The 25,182-nt window shown below is 35.2% G+C and overlaps 1 protein-coding gene across 24 annotated transcripts in view; it reads left to right on the top strand.

Annotated features, from left to right (window-relative positions):
- The window catches only part of GRM8 (glutamate metabotropic receptor 8), an 814,344-nt gene extending 789,513 nt beyond the window's left edge, over positions 1–24,831 (top strand). For 19 of the 24 annotated variants that reach the window (NR_028041.1, NM_001371087.1, NM_000845.3 and 16 more), the window contains 2 exons: positions 17,057–17,303; positions 24,261–24,831. Coding sequence is in view for 21 of the 24 variants with exons in the window: in NM_001371087.1 (NP_001358016.1) it covers positions 17,057–17,303; positions 24,261–24,310 (297 nt within the window). In the remaining 3 variants the exon portion in view is untranslated. Of the gene's footprint in view, positions 1–17,056; positions 17,359–17,975; positions 18,194–24,260 lie in introns of all 24 variants that reach the window. The other 5 variants (NR_163850.1, NM_001371085.1, NM_001127323.1 and 2 more) reach the window with 3 other exon arrangements.

The raw sequence follows: 25,182 nt of genomic DNA, 5'->3' as shown, positions 1-25,182 counted from the left end.
TCTGCCATAGCCATGGAAATCATCTGTCATCCTTCTCAGTTTTCACTTGTTCCTTAGTCAGAGGGGCTGACTAACCAGTTATACGATACGTATCCACCACTTGTAGGAAAATAATTCAAAGTATATGCACTGAGTATACAATTTTATTTCCCACTCACATAGTAGTCTGAGGTAGTTCCTGGTTGAATGGCAATTTTCTTCCATGGAGTGATTCAGGAACCCCTATGTCTTCCATCCTATAGCTTTGCATCCCCTGATGTCTCTTCATCATAAATAATAGAATCAGCAACAGGAGGTAAGAGTTTCTAGGGAAAAGTGCACACACATTAATTCTGTAAAACACTTTTATGACATTTATCATCTTGTTCACATTATATAGGTTGAAAACCAGTCAAATAACCACACTACATCTAGTCAGAACAGTCGATGACTGGCCAGGCACTCCCCAGAAACAATCCAATACAATGGAAGAAGGAGTACACATTTTGGTGTCCTGTTAGCTACCTATGCCACATCCCTTTTCCCTATTACAAATGTCTGTCTTTTTCTCCTGAGTGTCATCTTGGTAAAATGCTACATTTATAAAGTTGCTTGGTAAAAATAATAAAAGGAAAAAGAAAGTATAGGACCATTTTTTGTATCACATCAAAAGAAAGAATACTCAATATTTCCTCCACGACAATAAAAGTTTTCACTTGAGTGCAATTATTCTGAAAACTGAAGCATCAGTAGTTTGTACATATTTGGAACTCAGCCTATCAGATTTACTAATGGAATAATTTATCCACATAATTCTTTACTCCTACTCTTAGGAACATAGTTTTAATAATAGCATCCAGATGGCCTTCCAACTTAAAAATGTTTTATGTTCCAAAATTATGCTGGTAAATTGACTGGTGGCATTTGAGATATAATTTTATACATATAATATTACATGTGATAATTGTCTTTATGCCATCCACAAACGTCTATCTAACTAATTGTCTAACTGAAATACAGGACCTTTGCAATGAAAACTGTAGTAAATATTGTTATTGTGATGTGGGTAATTACCATAAAAATCCTAGAAATAAAGATTCATTTTGAATATAAAATATTTAATTAAAATTTTTAACACCATAATATATAAAACAGCTATTATAACTGCACATACCTTGTCTGATAATAGCTAGATGTGCTTTTTTATTACTGAGGAAAATACAAGTTACCCTATTTAATACCTATATTTTCACACTTGGAAAAGTTCACATTCTGTCACAGTAAAGTGTGGTAAAACTTAACAGCCTCAGTTTTAAAATATACTTGGAACAAGTCATAACTAGTTTTATTGCAAAAGATTCCTGTACACATTTATATTAATTTTGGTACCTTGAAAGGCTGCCTGGCAAGCCACTTCCATAAGGAAACATGCATTATGAGAAGTGAGAAATATCCATCCCTTCTACATATTTTTAGTTACTTGTCACTCCTCGACAACAATGCTCACATCACTGAAGCATGTGACATAACTCTTTATATTTATTCTAAGGGAAAAATGAAATAACTTAAAGGAAAATGCAATGCAATGTAAACAATCTCTTACTAAAAACAATACATTAAGCCAAAAGTATTTTACAGAATGTATTACAAGAAACTAAACACAGTATTGAAGATTCTAGCTGTGATCATGAGAATGAGATGTAGAATTCATCCGAAATAACAGCATCATTTGGGATTGAGAGCAAGCCTAGGTACCAGAGCCAGAACCTCCAATGAATGAAGGCAACTGATGGCAGATACGGGAACAAGGATGAAAGAAAGAGGATGTAGAGTTGAATGTTAAGACAGTTTCAAAGGCAGGATATTGGAGAAAAAGACAAGTCTGTAATGACCTGGAAGCAGCAAAGGTGAATAAAGGATGGTCCAACCTTATCATCTTCCCTGAGGAATATGAATTGAAGAAATAAAGACAACCATGACTTGAAAGTCTGGGGTGGAAACAACTCTCTTGGAAAGAGCAGTTTCAGTTAAGACCACAAGGGCAGAGGCAGGGAGAAGAGGCTGGGGATAGAGAGGAGTTGTGGTTGTGGGTTAGGAGTACAAAGCACACTAAAATGGATTTACAGGTGAGAGATGTATAAAGAATTGAGTGATTTTCAATAAAATTCAGAGTATTCTAGTTGGTTCAGTGGAATATTGTGTCTGAGCTGCATCACTTTGGGAGCAGACTGGTGATTAGAGGAGTAATCTGCTGTCCTTATTCTCAACAGAACACAGGGCTTCAGTAAGAGAAGACTCAGTCAGACTGCTAATGACCTAAGGACTATTCAGGACCTAAGAAGGTTGTCCAGTTGATCTGGGTGGGGGCAAAATAGGTCATCTGAACCCAGGACATCAATGAAGTTAATGAAACTAGTAGCATAAGGCACTATGCTCATCAAAAAGAGGGATATTTCAGATGATGTCTGAGTTCACTGTCCTAGGAGATTTAGATGCCTAGGGCTTCTGAGTGACTAATGGCTCTAAAATATACTTACAAGTTTCTTGGTTCTGGCTCATACTTCACAACTCTCTTGTTCTGAGAACTTATGTCAGTTGCAGGGCTACCAGCAAGGTAATGACTGTCATGAAATGGTCCTAGAAGCTGTCTCAAACTGTTGTGGGAGGGACTTCGGGCTAGTTTCTCATTGAAAATTGTACATAAGGCTTTTCTCCTTCACTCTCTTGTATTTAGCTCTTTCAGGTACCTGGTCACGGTAATAATCTTAAAGCCCTGTAGGTGCTTTATTCAGAGTAATGCCTCTGCTAAAGCTGGTGAGGATTTTCAGCCGTAGATAAGATTGTGCAACAACTAAGCTCTCTTTTACATCACAGAGCTTATGGAATAATGTGCAAGAAGAGGACTTTTTGTCTGTGGTCTAGAGTTATGAGTACTGGTCAAAGCCTTCTCCACCTTTCACTGGTAGTTATTTGAGACCTACAGTTTCTGAGGTTGTGATTACTGGGTGTTTTAAGGTTTTGACCTATTTGAAATGATTTTGTCTTTTCCTGAAAGCTGTCATTACCACAAATAATTGAATCTTCAACATGGGGCTCTTAGTGCCAATTTGTGTAATCAGTACACACTGTAGCAGATTACTGGTCTCATATTAGTGCATGCTTCATCTTGGCTAGGTATAGTGACTTGGAGAGGTCACCATATGTATGGATAAAGTTTTAATTTTCTGGAGTGCTTCAGCCATAGCTAGTATCCAAGCAGACCCATATATCTACATCAGACATGATAGTGACCAATTATAGAAAGTTCTAAATGTCATGTCTGAGAATTTTCCTCTCTTGAAACCTGGCTACTTTGACCTTCATGGGAATCTTCTGGAGGCTCCAGTCCTAGCACTAAGATTTTCTTATACCCAGGAACATCTCCCTATATATTGTCTCAGAGATGTAGTAAGTCTAGGGCTGTCAGGATCTAGGCAGACATAAAAAGAGCAGGTAAAAATATTGCTGAATCATGGCAGGTCATGATCCTTGAGTTGTGAAAGATACCATTTATCAAGGTGTGGAACACAGAAAGGGTTCTGAGTCTTTGAGGCTGAGTTGGAAGTGGTTAGTTGTCTTATGCTTTCCACCCTTTCAGATAGAGTTCCCTTTACATCTTCCTCAACTCTCCTTATCATAGGGCTGTCCTTAGTAAAGGGGCCAATCTTAGCAAATATCCAGGCTCCCCAGAGATAGCCCAGGGATAAGGGGTGAGTGGAGCCTCTGCATTGCCACCGTAATTAGTTTTTTCAGCACGTTGGGAAAAGATACCCACCATTATTTTCTTCCTTTCAAATAGCAGCAAGACACTATAAAATATTAGAAGAGGAGATTAAACATCAGAAAAATTGTCTCTGCCACTATATTTGCCATGCACTTGCATCACTAATTCTGAAAAGGACTGTACCCTACCTAATACACAATGAAAAGCAAAATAAAAATGCTGATGTAAGTGTCAGAGGATGAGAGGTAGGGGAACAGCATAGGAGCTGGGGGTGAATACTTTCCTTGTTTTCCTTGTTCTCACTCCATGGCTGGCTCTCTCTCAGGCAGGGTCATCATCATTCTGTCAGTCACGTACTACCTTTCTGATTTACTCACCATAGTTTTAGTTCCATATAGTTTTGTTTTGTTTTCTCACTTCTAATATCTATTTCCTGGGCAATCTTGCATTTTTTCTAGATGTATATATTTATTGGTGTAAAGTTATGCAAAATTTGCTTTTAGAATTAAAAAAACTAATTTGTACTGGTACTTACATCTTATTTTTCATTTCTATGTGGACTTATCATATTACCAAATATGATATGGTTTATGAGTACTATAGTTTTCTGTCTTATCGCTTTCTTCTTTTATATCAAATACTTTCTTCTTTCTCTGTTGAGTTTACTTTTTTTTTTTCTATTAAAGTTTACCTAGTTCCATGATTAATTTTTGAGATTTCCTGCATCCTAAGATTGCCATTTTGGACTTTAAATTTTCCTTCAAGCACCACTTAGGTTGTATCCACAAGTTTTCATACATACTGTTTTCATGATTATTCAATTTCTAAATAGTTTGTACTTTCCTTTTTATAGGAGTTACTTACAGGGATGATATTTGGTTTCCAAATAAAAACTCATATTTATTTATAAATTATAATTTTAATTTGATTACCTTTTTAGGTGAAAGGATATAGTCTCATGTTTCCTGTTATGAAAATTTTATTTTTGTTGCTGGATAACCTAATTCATAATTGATCTCTGTGAAGCTCATTTATGTTTTAAAATAATGCAGTGAAAATGATAATTTTATTACTGACTTATTCAAACTATTCTTAATTATATATTGTATAATCAAATTTCTATCTTTGAAAAGATGAATTAAAATCTCTCATGATGGTTATGGATTTGTCTATCCTTGCATTTCTATAATGCGTTGCTTACATACATTGTGATAATGGATTAATTGTATGTGTGTATATATATTCTTTGCATAATTTAATGATTATATCTTGCATTCTATTTTGTCCTATATTAATATTACTTTCCAGATTTCTTTGTTTACATTTTCCTGGCATAGAAAATGTATTTTCAACTTGGCTTATTATAATCTTTATATATGCTTTTCTCTTTTGAGAATACAATTTAAAATCAAACCTGATAATATCTGTATTTAAATAGGGAATTTAGTGTTTATAATGAAAATTAATGATTTATGTTTGCTAATGTTTTCTGTTTTCTTTTTACTATGTTCTCATGTTTCTTTTTTTGTCTTCTCTGAAATTATTTTAACTGATCAAGTTTTCTCTCATTTTTTTTCATTTGATAGTTCAGGAGTTTTAGATACTATTTTCATTTTTTTCTAAGTTGCTCTTAAACTTTAAACATACACTTTATTTTTTTTTTTGGCTAACAACATTTAGAAGTAATTTGCTGGCATATTTTTAAAATCTTATATCACATCTTCTTCCCTTTTTAGGAATAATTACCAAATTATTGGTAATTTATGTCTTGTTTCTTGTTTTCTTGGTCAACCTTGTGAGTGGTTTAATTTTACAGTCTTTCCAAAGATTTTTTTTTTTAGCTTTGTTGATTTTCTTTATGTTACATTTGTGTTCTATTTTATTGACTTTTATCTTTATTATTTCCTTCCTTCTATATTGATTGGATTTAATTTTCTCTCCCTTTTCTTTAGTTTTTTGAGATGAATAATCATATCAAGATTTCTTCTTTTGTGTCTGCTTTAGCCCATGACTTTTGATATGTTGTATCTTATTATTCAGTTCAAAATATTTGCTAATTTCCATTGTTTTTCTTTTGACTTATGAGTGATTTAGAAATGTATTGTTTAATTTTCAAACAGTTGGCAATTTTCTTTTGTTATTTATTTCCAACCTAGTTCTATTTTCTAATCTGATTTCACATTAGTCAGATAGCATACCCTGTATTTAAATCCTTGAAATTTTTTAGGATTTCCCAGAATGTGGCCATCTGGTAATTTTTTTCTGTACAATTTAATAGATTATTTTTCATAAGTTTTGGAAAATTATTGTCCAGTGTCTCTTTTAAGTGTTTCTTTTTATCTATTATATCTCTCCTTTCTTTCTAGGACTTAAGATTCATGTTTATTCAAATTTTGTATCATGTTTTATATATCTCCAATAATTTCTTTCTGAATTTTAAAAATATTTATAGTCTCCATCCTTCACCGTGGATATTTTTTTTACTGATTTATCTTTAATGCATCAGTCATTTCCTGCCATGTAGCTAATTAGTTATTAAACTCATCTATTCAATTCAATTATTATATTTTTCACTCCTATAATTTTTGACTTCAATACACACACACACAGGCACACACACAGACACATTCCAGTCCTCTGATGAAAATATCGTATTATGTATTTTCTTCAATACATTTATGTTAAAGTTTTGTCTGAGAAGCCTGGTTCTGATCATCTGTGGCACCATTTCTGTCACCTGTTTAGTTTTTGTTGTTGTTTGCCCACGGTTTTTGGTCATTTGTTTTTGTGTCCTAGCATGCCTGGCTGGTAATCTTTTATTGAATAACTGACATTGTACATTTTAAAAAAATGTAGATGTTATATATATTGTTATTTCCTTCTAGAGAAGCTTCAATTTTCTACTAGTCGGCAATTGAAATATATATATCAAGACATTTCACCTTGATATAATCTGGGATTGGGATAATTCGAGGATAAGTTTCAGGTTTTTATGGATTTGTCTATTTCTGATTTACCTTTCCTCCTCAGCAATATCCCTTTAGATATATTGGCTAAATGTCTGATATTTTATGAGTAATCATTCTCCTCCATGGACCTGAATTCTAACTGAATTCTCTCTGAATCTAGATTATGTTTGATTTTTTTTTTTTTTTTTTTTTTTTTTTAGCTTGCTGCTTTCTTACACTTAGGATTCAGCAAAGTCTCAAGGGAAAAAAAAGGTATAAAATACCCGGTTTACTTCTCTGTAGTACCCTAGAATTGTGGGTCCTTAAGTCCTGATTGCAATGATAACCCCAAATTCCAGATTTTATCTCCCTAGTCCCATGAGACTGCTGACAGGTCTGTCTAAAGATTTCTGTCTTTCCTATGTAGAATCAGTACGTTACCTGGGAATAAGAGGCAGTGGAGAGTGCTGGACATATGTCAATGTGCTTTCTTTTTCCTTACTAGGATCTTGGTCCCCTGAGTCCTGGCTACCTTGGTTCTCCTCTGACACCTCCAAATAGTCTTTTTTCCCTTAACTTTATGATTGTTTTATAGTTATTCTCAGAAGTTGGTTTGGTTTGATTATAGCTACTCCTCCATAGCCAGAATCAGAAGTCCTTCATCTACTGAGATTTTATTTTAATGATTAAAATGTTAGCTTATATGAATTTATTTGATATTTTTATGGATTTGTTATTTTTTTTTCAAAACTTCTCTAAGATAACAATAATTTTAATTCCACAGTCTTCCTTCTTTAGCTCTATTGGATCTATTTTTGTATGTTTATATTATTCTCTTTGTAAGGTGTCTTGATTCTCCTTAAGTATTTGCTAATTCTTGGTTGTCAGTTCATCTGTATTTGAATCCACCTTCGCCTGCCTGCTGTATTGTCAATAGCCTGTCTCTGGTGCTATAGAGGTGGAATGGTGCCTATGCAGCAATGTCTTCTGCATGTAGGGAATCCCTGTTCTTTCTGGTGGCCAGTGGTTCATCAGAGACTTTTCTGCTCCAACCCAGTGCAAACTCAATGCTAAACATCATTTAAAAGATTAACTTATCCAGCTCTTCAGGCCCATATTCTCAGCTAGATTATTTTGTCAAGTTTAAGAAGATGTAATTATAAGAAAGCCAGAGCTGTTCTAGGATCCACATGAGGCTTTTATTTATGAAGAAAGTAGCTGATTAATAACAGCAGAAACCCTCTAATGCACAACTAAATATTAATTGAAGTGCTTTAACTGTGCCTCTATTATTTAGAAGAAATTTGGCCCAAATCTATTAGAAAAGGGATGCTTCTCTGATTTGGAGAGGACTCAAGTCACATTAATCCTGCTCTTTCACTTCTCGGTGTATTTATGGGGGCCAGATGGTGTGTGGTAAGGATATGGGCTTTCAAATTAGAGAAACCTCAGTTTGAATCTACACTTTATTTTCATGTATTGTATGACTTTTCAAAAGTGACTGTGTCTCAAAAATGACTTCTTCGTGACTGTGTAATTCTCAAAAATAGACTTATTCATTCCTACCTTACAGGATTAGTGTGAGGGGTTAAATAAGTGCATAAAAGTTTTGGCATAATGCTGTACTTGATCCTCAATAATTGATAGATGTTATGGTTGTAGTTATTGTACAGTATCTAAACTCATCGTTTTAATCAATATCAGACATCTTTGAGATTCTATTGGTATATTTAACCACAACCAACTACTATCACAGAACTTTCAGAACTTTTTCAGTGATATCAACTCCCCATTCCTGTTAGTTTTCCAGGGCTGTATCACACACAGGGTGGTTTAAACAATAGAAATCAATTTCCTCATACTGCTGGATACTAGAAGTCTGAGATCAAGGTGTCAACAAGGTTATTTTCCTCTGAGGCCTCTCTCCATGGCTTATGGCTTGTAGATGGCCATCTTTTCCCTGTGTTATCACGTGATTTTCCTTCTGTGTGTCTTGTGTCCTAATTTCTTCTCCTTATAAGCCCATCAGGCATATGGGATTAGGGACCACCAAAATGACCTGATTGTAACTTAATTACCTCTTTAAAGACCCCGTCTTCAAATGCAGTCACATTCTGAGGTACTGGGGGTTAGGCCTTCGAAATACAAATGTTGGAGGAGACACAATTCAGCCCATAACACCATTTTTCTTGATTCTTACTATATTAAGGGATATCACCAGAAAAAAAAAAATAGCACTTTTAAAACATCATGTGCCTCCGCAAAAGCACCTGCACTGAGTTACTGAATCAATTATTTTGTCTTTAAAAAGGGTTATAGAGAAAATATCTATCTGACCAAGATTTAGTGCCTTTCGCAAAACTACAGTTGAAACCATTTTCATAATTTTACCAACTTTCCTTAGATAACACAACCTGAATTTATTATTTAGCCTAAAATTTAAATTCTAGCAAGGCTTCCGTCTCTAGGCAGTGATAAATATAGGATTCAACATATTTTCTCTTTTCCTGGCTTCTAGAACTATAGACAGATAGATAGAGATAGAGATACTTTAAAATATAGTTCAGAGATAAATTTTGTTCCTGAAACAATTGTTTCCTCTTCCTTGCTTCTTTCTAAACTAATTTATACTTTTATTTATTTGTTCTCTACCTGAAAATATTATTATATTTTGATATCCGTTCAAATGATAATAATTAAAGACATCCCCATTGCTGTTATTCCCAGTTCTGTCCATGCTGCTGCAGTGATAAAGGGCCAAAAGTTACCATGGAAGCAGAAATCCACGAAGGAAAACATGAGCAAAAATACCTGTAAAGGAGGAATTAATAAGCACTGAGAGAGTAGACACCTTGTATTAATTTTCATATACATATCCCAGTAGAAAATGCAACATCAGTTTACTTATTTACTATATTTCTGTAAATAATTCTCATATATAATAATTGAAAATTAAAGACCACATTTTATTTAATAATGCCATAGTTTTAAAAATTTACTCTGTTTTTAAATTTTCCATCAGGCTTTAATAAAAACAAATTATTTACTAATCCAAATATTAAAGATCACTTATGTTTAATTATAGTCATTGTAAATCAGATAGATTTTCTCCTTCTTTAACAGATCTTGAGCTTCCTTACGTGGTTCTTTCCTATCATTAGAGAAGCTGATATTCTGCTTGTTGGTTGATGCTGTATCATTCTCTTTAGCTAGTTTCCACCTCTCCCAATCATTCCAAGGTTAAGGGTTCAGAAAGACCTCACAGGAGGGAGAACAAGCCCTGCTCTGCATCTGTAGTCTTCCTTCACAATTCTTTATTCGTAGCTTTTGATTTGACTCTTCATGTTGCAAATATGTGTCCTGAGCCGAAAGGGGATGTGATAAGTGACTGCAAATGGATTACAGACAACTGGTCTCCACCTCCACTAATGAAAACACAGTGCAATGTATCTGACCTGCTGCTGGGTCAGCAGCACTGTGATTTCTACCTGACAGGAGAAACACAACACTCAGGACGGTGATTTTTCCCAGAGTTAAATTGGACTATAATTCTTTGCTGTGGTGACTCTAAAGTTTCCCACAAACATAAAGTATATTTCCTTATGAATAAACCATTTTGCTTGTATGTGTGTGTGTGTGTGTGTGTGTGTGTGTGTGTGTGTGTGTGTTTCTGCTATAAAGGCTAAAAGTCTTGAAGCTGATTTTGAGAGAGAAGTAGTGTTAAGCGTTTCTGACGTGGAGAATGAAGGAAGATGAATAGAGAACAGGTTGTCAAGGTTAAATAATGACAATAAAGCTATCCCTTATTAATTAATATATCCCAGGCTCTGTGCCACTGTGTATATATGTTGTCTCACTAAATCCTTTGATTTAAGTCTATGAAAACTTAGAAGTAATGTGAGTGCCTGACCCTCAGTTATACAGTTAACTTGTTTTGAGGGCAGATCCCAGAGCTCTCCTATTCCCAAAGTGAAAACGACTGACTTTGAATTATACTGTTCATTGCTGATGGAGAGCAAAATGGCCCATTATTACCAAGTTTACTGTTTAAAAGGGCATTATGTTTATCTGCCCAAGATTACATTTCTCTCCCAGCCTAGAGATTGCTATGAAAAAGAATGGAGTCCTCCAGTCCTCCAGTTTTCTGATATTTTGTAGTTTCAGTATCTGTTTTTTTTTTTCCTTCTTGGAAATACATGAGTTATATTCCTTAAAACCCAAATTTGGGAGTATGAACTCACACCAACTCAAAAGATTATAGAGAATGTCTGTTATCCAAACAGTTTTCTTTCCTTTTTTTTTTTTATTATACTTTAAGTTTTACGGTACGTGTGCACAACATGCAGGTTAGTTACATATGTATACATGTGCCATATTGGTGTGCTGCACCCATTAACTCATCATTTACATTAGGTATATCTCCTAATGCTATCCCTCCCCCCTCCCCCCACCCCACAACAGGCCCTGGGGTGTGATGTTCCCCTTCCTGGGTCCAAGTGTTCTCATTGTTCAATTCCCACCTATGAGTGAGAACATACCATGTTTGGTTTTTTGTCCTTGTGATAGTTTGCTGAGAATGATGGTTTCCAGCTTCATCCATGTCCCTACAAAGGACATGAACTCATCATTTTTTATGGCTGCATAGTATTCCATAGTGTATATGTGCCACATTTTCTTAATCCAGACAGTTTTCTAAGTGCTGAGTTTACAGCCGTGAACAACACAGGTAAAATTCCCAATATTCATGGAATTTTTATTCTAGCTAGGGGAAATAGGTACCACATACATTAAATGAGTAAAATATATAGACTTTTAGGATATAATGTGTTAGATACTAAGGAGTGTGATAAAGCTAGGAATACTGGTAGAAGGTTGGGGGTTACAATTTTCAATGGTGTGTTCAGGAAAGGTCTCACTGAGCTGGGGCATTTCAGTAAAGACTTGAAGGCAGTGAAGAGGCAAGCCACCAGATATAAAAGTCTGGAAGTAGAAGCATGCCTGGTATGTTCCAAGATCAGCCAGGGAGCCAGTATGGGTGGAAGGGAATGAGTAAAAAAAGAGTAAACCAGAGGAGTTCTCAGAGGATCTTGTGGACCATTGTCAAGATACAATCAATGGGAAGTCATTGGAGAGTAGGCTTTGGAGAGTAGGAGTGACCTAATTCAGTTTATGAATAATGGGATTATTCTAGCTTCTGTGTTAGGATCAATCAAATGCTCAAACAGAAGAGAGCAAGGGCAGCAGGAAAGAGAACACTAGGACAGTTACAGTACTGATCCAAATGAGAGATGATGATGGCTCTGAGCAATGTAACACCAGTGGAGACATTCTGAAAGTTCTGAGCAAATTTTGAAGGTAGAATCAATAGGATATGGTCATAGATAGGGTGGGAGTATAAAAAAGGAGTAAAAGACAATTTCAAGTTCCCTGTCCACCTGCTCTCCCAAGAACTAGAAGCACGGTATTAATGAGATAGGGTAGACCACTGGGAGATCAAGTTTAGGGATGAAGATTGGGAATCAGAGGCTTGTTAAGTTTCAGATGCTGTCAGGCACCGAAGGGAGTGACCCAAAAGACAAATGCCTTTCCTAAGAAAAGCCCGGAATTTGTCAGTATATAAGTGATTTTTAAAAGAGGACTAGCTATATAATTTGTGGAACCCAGTAAGAAATGAAAATGCAGGAGTCTTTCTTTAACAATTATTACAGACTTCAAAACATTCGTGGCAGAGCATTAAACCAAGCATGGGGCCCTTCTATTACAGGGTCTTGTGTACAAGTGCACACCCATGAAGCTTGTCTTGGTTTAAGGGTGTAATTCTAATATGATCAGCAAGCGAGTAAGAGACAGAGAGAAAAAGACTAAGCAATGAAACTAGGAAGATATTTAATGTAAACAAGACAGGAACAAAATAAAAACGTTTGATATGAGCTTGGTAGTGGTTTCAGGCTCAGCCAGCAAAGCTGAATGGTTGCCTCTGGTTTTTGCAATTTTCAATTGCTAGGGGAATTTTATGAGTTTGGACTTTTGCATGATAGATTGATTTGGGGTGTTACCACCCACAGGACAACTCCAGTTTCTCTATAAACTTCTTCATCTTTAAAAAAAAAAAATCACTTCTAGTAGTAAATGGTATTTTGAAGTCCATTGGCTGCTAAAAAGCAAAAGAAAACCCATTTTTTGATGCAAGTTTCACTTTGGCAGACACGCAGATGAGGAAGTAGAAACAGAAGCAGAGAAATACAGGCTGTCAGTGTTAGTGTAGCTTTCTAGCTGGTCAAACGGTATGCAAAGCAGCCAAACAGAACCTGGTGACTAAAACAAAGTGGTAAGATTAAACCATCGAGGGCAAAACAGAAATAGTCAGGAATAAATACTGAGTCTGTTTCTTATCACGTGGCATAAAGTTGCTTTGAGTGTTAGGTTTCATAATAGTTTACCTTAGTTACTAAGGGGTTGCAAAAATACCAGGTTGGATGTCAGAGTCTGTGGTGGTCTGTGCACTGGCAGCTGGTTGAAAGCAAAAGACTGACCTTTATCCTGGAAAAATAAAATCTCCTCCCTCCTCACTCTTCCTGGAGTCTTTAATGATACCACATCATGGCCTACGTTGAGTAGACCTTGATATGTACAAATGACCTATCCAGAGTTTGAAGAGGGAACTGTAATAGGTCCCAGAAAAGATTTCATATTAGTATGCTCCATTGTCACAGCTCACCCCTGGCTTATCTAGAGATTGCTTAAATCTGCTTCAGGGCATCTGACTGCTTCAGGTTCAAAATGTCCATGGGGCATGGAGGCAGAGTAAGTAACAAGCCATCAGTGCGTGTGATAGAAAAGATAGTCCCCATCCTCTGGGTGTTAGTATTTTGGAGTGACAGGGCCAGGAGGGAGCACGTAAGAGAAGGCTGGGAAAGAGAAGATTATTATTGACATATCCAATATCATTGCTAGCATCTCTTGAATTTTTGTGGGTTAGTGGGAGTTAATACAGTCCCCTCCTGCATTCTGATGAGCTGTAACTTTGAGATAAAGAGCTGTTATATTATTCTAAGCATGTGGCCCAGGCAGTAAATATGGTCTTGAGTTCACATTTGGACAAAATTTTATTCTGTCTACATTGAAGTGAGATTACAAAGGCCTTTTCCTCAACATCGTATAGTCAGAGCCTGGCTATCAGCTCTTCTCTAAACAAAACTGGTTTGAATAAGTGTGTAATAGGTCCTTCTTTTGTCCTATACTCCTGGGAGGATACTTTGTTAGCATATTTTTAGATGCAAAGTTGTAGGGTAAAGAATGTTTCTTGAGCTATCTTGTATCTGTAAGAGATTTTATAAATATATCATGCTACCCTGTAACTCCTCTATGAGAAAAGTATTACCCCCAACCCCACCCTGTGACATAGATAAGAACTTACTGTTCAGAGAAGAAAATAAGATACCATATTTGTCCAATAACCAGGGAAGATTGATTGGTTTAGATTGTAGCCTGGGAGGTTGGTTTGGGGACTTTAATCACCCAGAAAATAACTCTAGAGTTTCTCTGTAAACTTTATCTTTTAAAAAAATGTATTTAAGTGGTGGTTCAGAATTCATACCCAGGTCTACTGGAACATATTCCTTCCATGGCCCTGTAACAAATGCTAGGCCACTGTAAGGTTGTGGACTTAGGGTATGATTTTGTGGATTTCTTTAACTTTTATTTTAAGTTCAGGGATACAAGTGCAGGTTTGTTATATAGGTAAACTTGTGCCATGGGGGTTTGTTGTACAGATTATTTTTATCACCCATGTATTAAGCCTAGTACCTGTTATTATTTTTCCTGATCCTCTCCTTCCTCCCACCCTCCACCCTCCAAAAGGCCCCAGTGTGTGTTGTTCCCCTCTATGTCTCCATGTGTTCTTATCATTTAGCTCCCACTTATAAGTGAGAACAAGCAGTATTTGGTTTTCTATTCTTCTGTTAGTTTGCTAAGGATTTTGTTAGATGCCTTTCCTGTATTAAACTCACATTAAAATTTTTCAGAAGCTGTCTTAAGAAAGTACATAATTAAGATCAGCATTTTGGTATAATTTGAAAGTATAGCGTCCAATGAAGAGCTTGCTACACTAACCATGGTACTATTTAATTCTAATATCTGTGTTTATTACATCTTTCATTGAGTTGGCTTGCCAAAAGGATAGACTGCGGTAATTTATTTAACGAGGAAGCTAGCATTCCAAAGTCCTCTTCATGTCTAATATTTGGCAGGATTAAATTTACTATATATCGCAGAAATTATTCCAAATAAGAGAAGACTATTATTTATATTTTTGGTAACAGAGAAAATGTATAGGATGTTTATTACAAAAATATTTTTATACTATTTGGACTAGTACTATACATGTTAGCAAGACTAACAGATTAAGGCACATTTAAAAAATCCAACTAATCAGTATAGATGTTCCCATCATTTTATGGCTGTTTCGTCGTTGGATTTGTTTGTTTGTTTTTAGGCTAAATTGACTTGAAAGAGTCTGACTGGTGGTTTTCTATTTGACTGGCATTGGAACATGTATGGGTGTGGTTTGTACTTTGCCACATTCTTTTCTTACCTTTATGTCCTCTCTCTGCAGTCAATTTTCTATGTAGGTTTTTGCAGCAATGCTAGCTTGAAAATAAGCAGGAATTCAAAAAAGATTAACCAATACTTAGGAAGCTTAGGAATGTTTAAAATAATAGGTTGCTTAAAAGTAGATGGCAAAACTTAGGAGATTTATAAGCCGTAAACGTACACATCCCTATTTCATTGGGATGGTCTTAATTGTAGTAAATCTTGTAAACTTTGTAGTAAATCTCGTTAAAGCATTTTCCACACTTAAACAATGAGCTCTTATGCAAGGATGCAAGGACAGCCTTAGTGGCAGATGAACTGGGCAGTAAATTCAGCAGTGTGCATGGTATGATTTTATATCCAAAGACAGTTTCTTAACTTGTGCCTCACATCCTGCTCATGGTTTGGACAGTTCTTTACCGCAAGGTTTTGCCATCTGTTAAGAGAAACCTTCTCCTCTAGGAAAAGGCAACACTAATGCTGATTCAGTTATTTACCCTTGAGGGCGAATGGTTTTTTTTGTTTTGTTTTGTTTTGTTTTGTTTTTGATTCTTTATTTAAAAGGACACAATTAGTTTGGTCTTGAGGATTGCCAGATGAGATCTAACTAGTATGATAGATGTTAGCAAGACTAACAGATTAAAACATATTTAAAAAATCCAACTAATCAGGATCATATTCAGAGATGTAAATAGAGTGAACAGATCTATTAATGAGGGTCGTAGATATGACAAAGGGAGAATCTCTTTACAGTCTTAAGATGTGGTTTCTCCGTGGCCTCAGTATCCCAAGTTATTTGGGGAAAATTCTATTTTGAGCTCAGGACATGAAAAGTGGAACCAGATCAAAGGTTTTTGTTTCTGTTTTTAAAGAATGAAATACTGCTGTTTCTGTTTCTATACCATAACCAAAAAAGAAAAAGCCAAAGCAGTGATTTTAGCTTTGGTTTTTTTTTCAGATTCTTAACCTCTAGCTTGTAGAAAGAAAAACCTTCCAGAAAGAGCTCTCTCTGTAAGTATCAGAGCAGTCGATTTCAGTGGGATAAGGGCAAGCAATGAGCACAGGGGGAGAATTTCAGAATGCAGTGACCGGGACCATATCCCAGTGCATATATCTTGGAGGGAGGAGATCTTACATATTTTATAAAAGCACCTGACTTATTTCGATATGATGCTATCACTGAGAACCTTCTGGAAGTGTTCTTTAGAGGGACTGTTAAAAAAAATCAAGCCCTTATGACATGCTTGTGATTTTTGGTAGTTGGAATTATGTAATGATGTGAAGATGCAACCACTAGCATTATTCAAGCACAGGTGTGTAATAGTGATGTTCTGGAATGTTGCACTCCCACTCTATTTTCACTATGTATACTTACCTTCTGGGTTAAACTTATTGCTACAATAACACTTGGCCCACTAGTACCTTCTAAAGAAGTTCTGTGTGGCATTAAGTGTTAGTGTTTTGCCAGACTGGTTTGGTCCCCTTCCTTATGTATGTTTATTTATAATCTAAAAAGGAAAATAAACTCCACCAGCTTGGTTGTTTGTATTTTTATTTTAATAAATTGGGTTCAATAAAAAAATAACCTTACTCATTTACATTTGCAGGTTAGGACACAGGAATGGTTGACTATAATTAAGGACAATTTCAATAAGTGCCTTTTAATGTGCCTTTAGCAGAGAAGCTGGAACAATTTTAGAAAATAGTATGTTATTTGCTTTATCTCCTACTGTTAGGCTTACCAACAGTGATTCTTTTTTTTTTCTTCCCTCAGATGTACATCCAGACAACAACACTTACTGTCTCCATGAGTTTAAGTGCTTCAGTATCTCTGGGCATGCTCTATATGCCCAAGGTTTATATTATAATTTTTCATCCAGAACAGAATGTTCAAAAACGCAAGAGGAGCTTCAAGGCTGTGGTGACAGCTGCCACCATGCAAAGCAAACTGATCCAAAAAGGAAATGACAGACCAAATGGCGAGGTGAAAAGTGAACTCTGTGAGAGTCTTGAAACCAACAGTAAGTCATCTGTAGAGTTTCCGATGGTCAAGAGCGGGAGCACTTCCTAATAGATGTACGTTGAACATTCTTCTCCTAGTCTTGGGGATTGTGCTACATGTTTCCAGGGGCATGATGGTACTCACATACCGTGACACCATCACATTTAAAACCATTCGAAGCAAATGGTCTCAAGATGAGCGGCTGTTCTACAGAGTACAAACTTGCTCACAAAATCTCTTTTACAAAGCATGACATTCAGATCTTTCTTTTGAAGCATTACAAAGCTTGGTATTTGAAAGCGTCATCTTCTTATAAAAATTATCTTTTAGTACTTGGAAACAATTCCACAATTTTTCTTGTTCCATACTGGGTGCTTTTTATAGTATCAGTAGTTTGCTGATACTTACAGAATATCACTACAGATCTTACACATATAAATGATGTTATTTGTGCCTTTAGGGAAATGAGAACTCTAGTTAGCCAATATGTTTAGTTAAGTCACAGTTAATACTTGTTTCTCCCACGTGGTCCCCTTTCCTTGGGCTTCCTGAGGGCTTCCCTTGACTTCCCTTCTTGGATATATTAAGATAATTAAAGTTCTTCTTTAAAAGCCTCATGATCCTGGAAATAGAATCTTTTCTACAACCACCTTTCCATTTTTCTTTTCTTTACCTATTTTCGTCTCTACAGTCCACCCAGGAAAAAGCACATGATAACAATACACAGAAATCTGTGCTCAACCAGTAGAATTTAACTGATCTATTGAAGCCCATCTTGGTATCTATGAAAGAGTGGCAAATAATTTGAAGATTTGTATGGTAAAATACCAGGAAGCTGAATATGGTAAACATTACAACCTTTACCTTACTAGGTTCTACAGATGAATCAAAAAAGAAAGAAAAGCAAAGGTACTTGTATTAGAGTGGCTTCCAGTCTTTTGGAATATAGCATAGGGATTCAATATTTGTTTTTTCTGTTTGAAACAGGAGCTTGCTCTGTTGCCCAGACTGGAGTGCAGTGGTATGATCTAGGCTCACTGCAGCCTCTACCTCCTGGGTTCAAGTGATCCTCCCACCTCAGCCTTCCAAATAGCTAGGACTGCAGGCATGTGCTGTCATGCCCAGCTAATTTTGTTTGTTTGTTTGTTTGTTTGTTTGTTTTGTAGAGACAGGGTCTCACTCTGTTGCCCAGGCTGGTCTCTAACTCCTAGGCTCAAGTGATCCTCCCACCTAAGCCTCCAAAAGTGCTAGGATTGCAGGTGTGAGTTACCACACCCGGTCAGGCATTAAGGACAAAATCCTATGCAAAAATATTCTCTTCCTCTCATATTCATCCAGCAGTCTGTATCCCCTACTCTCCATACTTTTGACACTAAATATAAGAAAAAACTAAAAATTAATTTTATTTGGTTTAATTATTATAGCAACTTATGGTCTACATTCCATCTACAAACCTTCTTTTCTATCAAGATTTCTAGATAAGCATTGTCTACTCTAATTTACCATACACAGAACTATCCTGTGATAGTTAATTAGCATTGCTTAATTAGACATATTGGTTTCAGTTACTATCAGCTTACCTGGAATCATTAGCCAGATTGGTTCTAAAAAGATTATCTTCGGGTCACCAATACCAAATTTAGTCACGTGTAGAGAAATGAACCTTACAAGAATTTCACAAACACCCTCCACATATTCACCTTTCTGCAAACATGAAACCTTGTGAAGTAAGAAATATGCGAAGCAAGGTAAGGATGGGCTTTAGTAACAAATCATTACAATCATCTCTGAGTATAGGTAAGCAATTTACTAATGATAAACCTATTTCGGCTCTTAGCAAAAGGTATACTGTAACTGCCATTAAAGGCATCAAAGTAGAATGCTTGTGATTTGAGGACAGAATTTTACCTTTTTTCCTACCTTGACAGCATTAGTGTAGGAAGTTGAAAGCTATTATAGGATGCCAATAAACTGCTGTTGGCCAGTGATGTAATTTGAACACTGGCACTTCTCACTATGACTCACCAGAGTCTATTGTTTTACCTGTTTTTCTCTTTTTTTTTTCTTTTTTAGCAGCAATCCAGAAAACTTTATAAAATATGGTTGCCAAATTAAAGAACCAAACTTATAGTGATATAAATACCAGTCATTCAGACTCACCTTTGGAAAGTGGTGGAGAAAAAATTTAATAAACTTTTTCACCACTTTAAAAGAATAAATACATGCCCTGAAAAACAAAATTCTCAGTATTGATAAGAACCAATCTCATATTATTGAAGTAAATCTCATACAGATACTGTTTTCCTTTGGTTATTTTCTATTAATGTTGAAATGGAAATTATATAGCCTGCATGTATTTCTCTATTTTCTCTAAAATAAGAATGAAAGATTGCAAAAACAAGGCCTATTTGGAGGGTAAGCCTATAATATTCTGGAGGAGTCAGATGCTCACGTTTAGAAGGTGAAGTAAAGTCAAAAAGTAAATCAAGATAATATCAGTTACTGCCTGAAAAAAAAGTTTAATTGTACTTTGGAGATTTTAGTGCATTGATCTTTTACAGGAGTATAATTTAGGTTTGAATAAGTTGGGCCGAAGTAAAGTGATTACAGTGTACTCATTCAGGAGAGAAAGATGTGTGACATCTTCACACATCCTTCCACAATCCTACTCCAGATCACCATTTTTAACCTTTGTTCACTTCCATGGCCATCCTACAATGAAAGGGTAGATCTGTGTTCAAGATTTTAAAGTTTCAAAAGCTACACAGAGTAAATATAAGTAATACGAAGCTGGATGGGAAACCAATGAGTGTTGTGTTAGTTGCTGAATTTGCAGACTATAGTTTACATTTTTAAAAAAGGTCAAGTGTTATTTCACAACAGAGTGCGAGGGGAGTTAGAAACAAAGTTGATATATATGAATTTTGCCAACTGTACCCAATTAACAAATGCTGTACATAGTATTCTTTAAGCTATGTTCATGAATAATTCATGAAAACAGCTGCTGCTGGAGGTAGATTTGTTTTTTCTAGCTTATGAACACAGTGTGATGCACACAAGGAAATTAATTTACTGTTGCTGTGCTCAAAAACTGATTTTCATATGAGCATATTCATCAGCACCGTGAAAAACATCTCCCTATGAACTCATTGGTACATCTCTGATTCATTTTGCTCTATAATACTTCTGGGATAAAGATTCTTGCGAGGTATCTGCCATCCACAAAGTTTGTCCCTTATCATTGCTTTCATGTTGACTAAATCATCTGATTCCAGAACCTTACACTTCCTTTTCTAACCAGTAGGAAAATTAGCATTGCTGTCCTTTTGTGAATTGTTTTCTCAATTCTCAATAGAATTCTACCATTTTCTTTCTAGAAACCATGTTTAAGAGTTCAAAAAATAATATGTTAATTTTTAATTAGCTACAGAGCCCCAAAGTTAGAAAGATCCTTAAAACTGATCTAATCCAAACTGCCATCTGTTGAATGGACATCTTCTGAAAACTTTATTGTTCAAGATCTATCAGCTCTTGCTACTCTATTTCAACCATAATTCTTTTTCTAGCTATATACAAATTTTATAACTATTTCATACATTTTAGTTATTGTTGAAAATATTGAACAGTGTAGGAAGTTGGATGACCCTTTTAACAGTCATTTTTATCACTCTTATGACAATTTTTCTCCACCTTGTCTGTGAAGATTATATGAAAGTCCTTCAAAAGCAGAACTGAAGGACAGATTTTATTTTCTTAGAGGAAATTTAGAGGCATACGAGAGTATTATATAAATTAAAAATAGAAAGTAAAAGTGAGTGATCATAGAAAATCATTGTGTTTCACTTCACACCAAACCAAATGTAACAAATATTTTACCTTTTGGAAAGGTTAAGTAGAAAGTAAGACTCCATTAGGTCTCATGTATGGTTCATGGAAAGAAAAGAAAATAAGGAAGGAAGAAAGGAAGGGAGATAGGGAGGAAAGGAGGGAGGGAGGCTGGTTCTATATTGGTTCTTCCAGACTACAGCTGTTCCATCCCGATCTATTCTGCTTTTGACCTTACAGGAACACAGTATTGTAGGTTTTGAACCAGTGATAAAACTGAGGCCCAGTAACCTGGCCCAATGATTTTTTTTTTTTCACGCATTTTGCAGGGAATAGAATGTAATTTAAAACCAGGTCTAAAGTCTACTTCCTTTGCAGGGTGCCACAATAATAACCTAGAAGGATAAGCAATGTAGATAAGATAAGCAGATATGTCAACTATTTTTAGCCTGAAGCTCATAATATTCAATGAAATAAAAAATAACAACAATGAAAAAAACATCTATAGTAGCACTTCTTAGGGCTATCTGAGTTAATTTTAGTGGTTGTGAACTTTGTATGAACTTGGTCTCTGGTAAGAACTTGTCTAATCCATCAATAGTGTCACTAAGATGGAATGAGTCTGATTGTCAGTTATTTCCGAGGAGGAACTTTACAATTTCTAGTCTTATTCAATGTTCAATAAATAAATTATTTTCTAAAAATCTGTTTCATCCTGAATTGGATTCATATATTGAAACACATACATTCTTTGCTTTTTAAAGTATCTTTTATCTTACGATTATTCATTCCAGAATTACATGAAAAAATAGGACATCACATTTGAATTTTAGGACAGAGATTCATTGCATCACATCTTTCAACAATACAAAGGAATTATTTGGATTTAGATTTATATTCTCCAGAAGCTTAGGCATGAGTATAAATTTGGCATAATATCTCTGTAATGGCCTTACAATAATGAGTTTTACTTTACAGTATGTTGGCAACAGAACAATTAAACATTTCTTTATTTGAGTCTTTATTTTCTTAAATTTTATCTTCATTTGTCTCCTTTTGATGAAACCAAAAGAAACCATAAATATGCATTGGCAATTCACATGTTTTCTATATATTTGATATTTTAGCATGTTTACCTCTAGAGTCTAAGATTATTGTGTATTTTTAAGTGGAAGAGGTATTCATTCTCATAGGACAGCTAATTATAATTACTTACCTTTCTTGGTCATTACATCAGCCTCTAAGAATTGAGGTCTTTGACTTAGGTAGTAAAAAATATTTTTTATATTTTGTAGGACAGATAATTGATCTGTTCTTTCATTTTACATATGTGCAAATGTAAAATTTTACCAAAATATTAAAGATTAGCACTTTTATATTTTTAGTTTTCTAGTAAATATTTATATACTATAAATGAGGCTACTGATTTTGACAGATTAAAATTGCTGCAGCATTTTTGTTTCTACTGTCATTTAATTTTTACTACAGTCATGGATTGCTTGATGACATGTTCTAAGAAATGTGTTGTTAGGCAATTTTGTCTTTGCGCAAACATCATACAGTGTACTTACACAAACCAAATGGTATAGCCTACGACACACCCAGGCAATATGGTGTAGCCTAGTCTATCTAAGCTACAAACCTGTACAGCATGTTACTGTCCTGAATTGTGTACACAGTTGTAATGCAATGATATTTGTATATCTAAACATATCTAAACATAGTAAAGATACAGTAAAAATAGAGTATACAAGATAAAAAATGGTATACATGTAAATAGGGAACTTACTATGAATGGAGCTTGTAGGACTAGAAGTTGCCCTGGATCTTTAAGTGAATGAGTGGTGATTGAATGTGAAGTCCTAGGACATGGCAGTACTGTAAATTTTTTTTTTTTTTTTTTTTTTTTGAGATGGAGTCTTGCTCTGTTGCCTAGGCTGGTGTGCAGTGGCGCGATCTCGGCTCACTGGAACCTCTGCCTCTCGGTTCAAGCAATTCTCCTGCCTCAGCCTCCTGAGTAATTGGGATTACAGGCATGTGCCACTATGCTCGGCTAATTTTTGTATTTTTAGTAGACACAGGATTTCACCATGCTGGTCAAGCTTGTCTCAAACTCCTGACCTCGTGATCCACCTGCCTAGGCCTCCCAAAGTGCTGGGATTACAGACGTGAGTCTCTGCACCCAGCCACTGTAGATATTATAAAAACTCTACACTTAGACTACACTAAATTTATTTTAAACATTTCCTTTTTCAATATATACTATTTTAGCTTACTATAAATTTTACTTTATGAACTTTTTATTCTTTTTAAATTTTGACTTGTTTGTAATAAAAACTTAAAACACAAACACATTGTCCAGCTATAAAAAATATTTTCTTTATACCCTTACTCAAGGATAGACTTTTTTCTATTTTTATTTATTCATTTTACTTTTTAAACTTCTTGTATTAAAAACTAAGACACACACACACACACACACACACACACACACTAGCCTAGGCCTCCACAGGGTCAGGATTATCAATATCACTTCCATCTCCATATCTTATTCCACTGGAAGGTCTTAAGGGGCAATAACACACATGGAGCTGTCATCTCTTGTAATAGCAATGCCTTATTCGGGAATACCCCTGGAGGACCTGCCTGAGGCCATTTTACAGTTAACTTTATAATGTATAAGTAGAAGAAGTCTACTTTAAAATAATGATAAAAAGTATAGTGTAGTAAATATTTAAACCAGCAACATAGTCATTTGTTATCATTATCAAGTACTATGTACTGTATATAATTGTATGTGCTATGCTTTTTCATGACTGGTAGTACAGGAAATTTGTTTACACAACAAACCACAAACATGTGAATTATGTGTTGTGTTATGTGTTGTGTTGTGTTATGTGTTCACTGGGTGATAGGAATTTTTCAGCTCCATTATAATCTCATGGGACCACCTTTATATAATGCAGTCTGCTGTCGAGCTCAAATGTCGTTGTGCTGTGCATGACTGTGAATGGTTTAAAAATAATGAGTAACATGCTGTAAAAGCTGGATATTATTAAAAAGTCATTACAGGACTTGAATTTTAAAATCATATTAACAAAAGGATGTATTATTATATACTATTTTAATTTGTCCTCATTTATCTTAACAGCTTCCTCTACCAAGACAACATATATCAGTTACAGCAATCATTCAATCTGAAACAGGGAAATGGCACAATCTGAAGAGATGTGGTATATGATCTTAAATGATGAACATGAGACCGCAAAAATTCACTCCTGGAGATCTCCGTAGACTACAATCAATCAAATCAATAGTCAGTCTTGTAAGGAACAAAAATTAGCCATGAGCCAAAAGTATCAATAAACGGGGAGTGAAGAAACCCGTTTTATACAATAAAACCAATGAGTGTCAAGCTAAAGTATTGCTTATTCATGAGCAGTTAAAACAAATCACAAAAGGAAAACTAATGTTAGCTCGTGAAAAAAAATGCTGTTGAAATAAATAATGTCTGATGTTATTCTTGTATTTTTCTGTGATTGTGAGAACTCCCGTTCCTGTCCCACATTGTTTAACTTGTATAAGACAATGAGTCTGTTTCTTGTAATGGCTGACCAGATTGAAGCCCTGGGTTGTGCTAAAAATAAATGCAATGATTGATGCATGCAATTTTTTATACAAATAATTTATTTCTAATAATAAAGGAATGTTTTGCAAATGTTGAGAGTTGTTTCGTTCCAGTTTTAAAGCTAGGGAAAACTCTTCTTTCTAGTTGGCACTTCTGCTGTTTTTTAGCTCCTTCTATGAAAGCCCTGATGTTCTGAGAAAATATTTCTTTGAGGAATGTGTTTTTGTACATTTGTGTGCATAAGAGGAAGACTGTCTTTTATTCCTATATTAAAAAGCATTATTTGTGTAAGACTTTGTGAATATTTCAAGATTTCTGTGGTAGCTTTTCATAGTAACTGCTTCTTTTATGAAGAATCAAGCAATAGTTTGAGGTAAATTGCTTTGAGTTAATTAACAAATGATGAATTAAACTTTACTTTGGAGAACAGAGTATGAAAATTACC

Source organism: Homo sapiens, chromosome 7 (assembly GCF_000001405.40).
Source record: "Homo sapiens chromosome 7, GRCh38.p14 Primary Assembly".
Lineage (NCBI taxonomy): Eukaryota > Metazoa > Chordata > Mammalia > Primates > Hominidae > Homo > Homo sapiens.
This window is presented reverse-complemented; position numbering and strand designations above follow the sequence as displayed.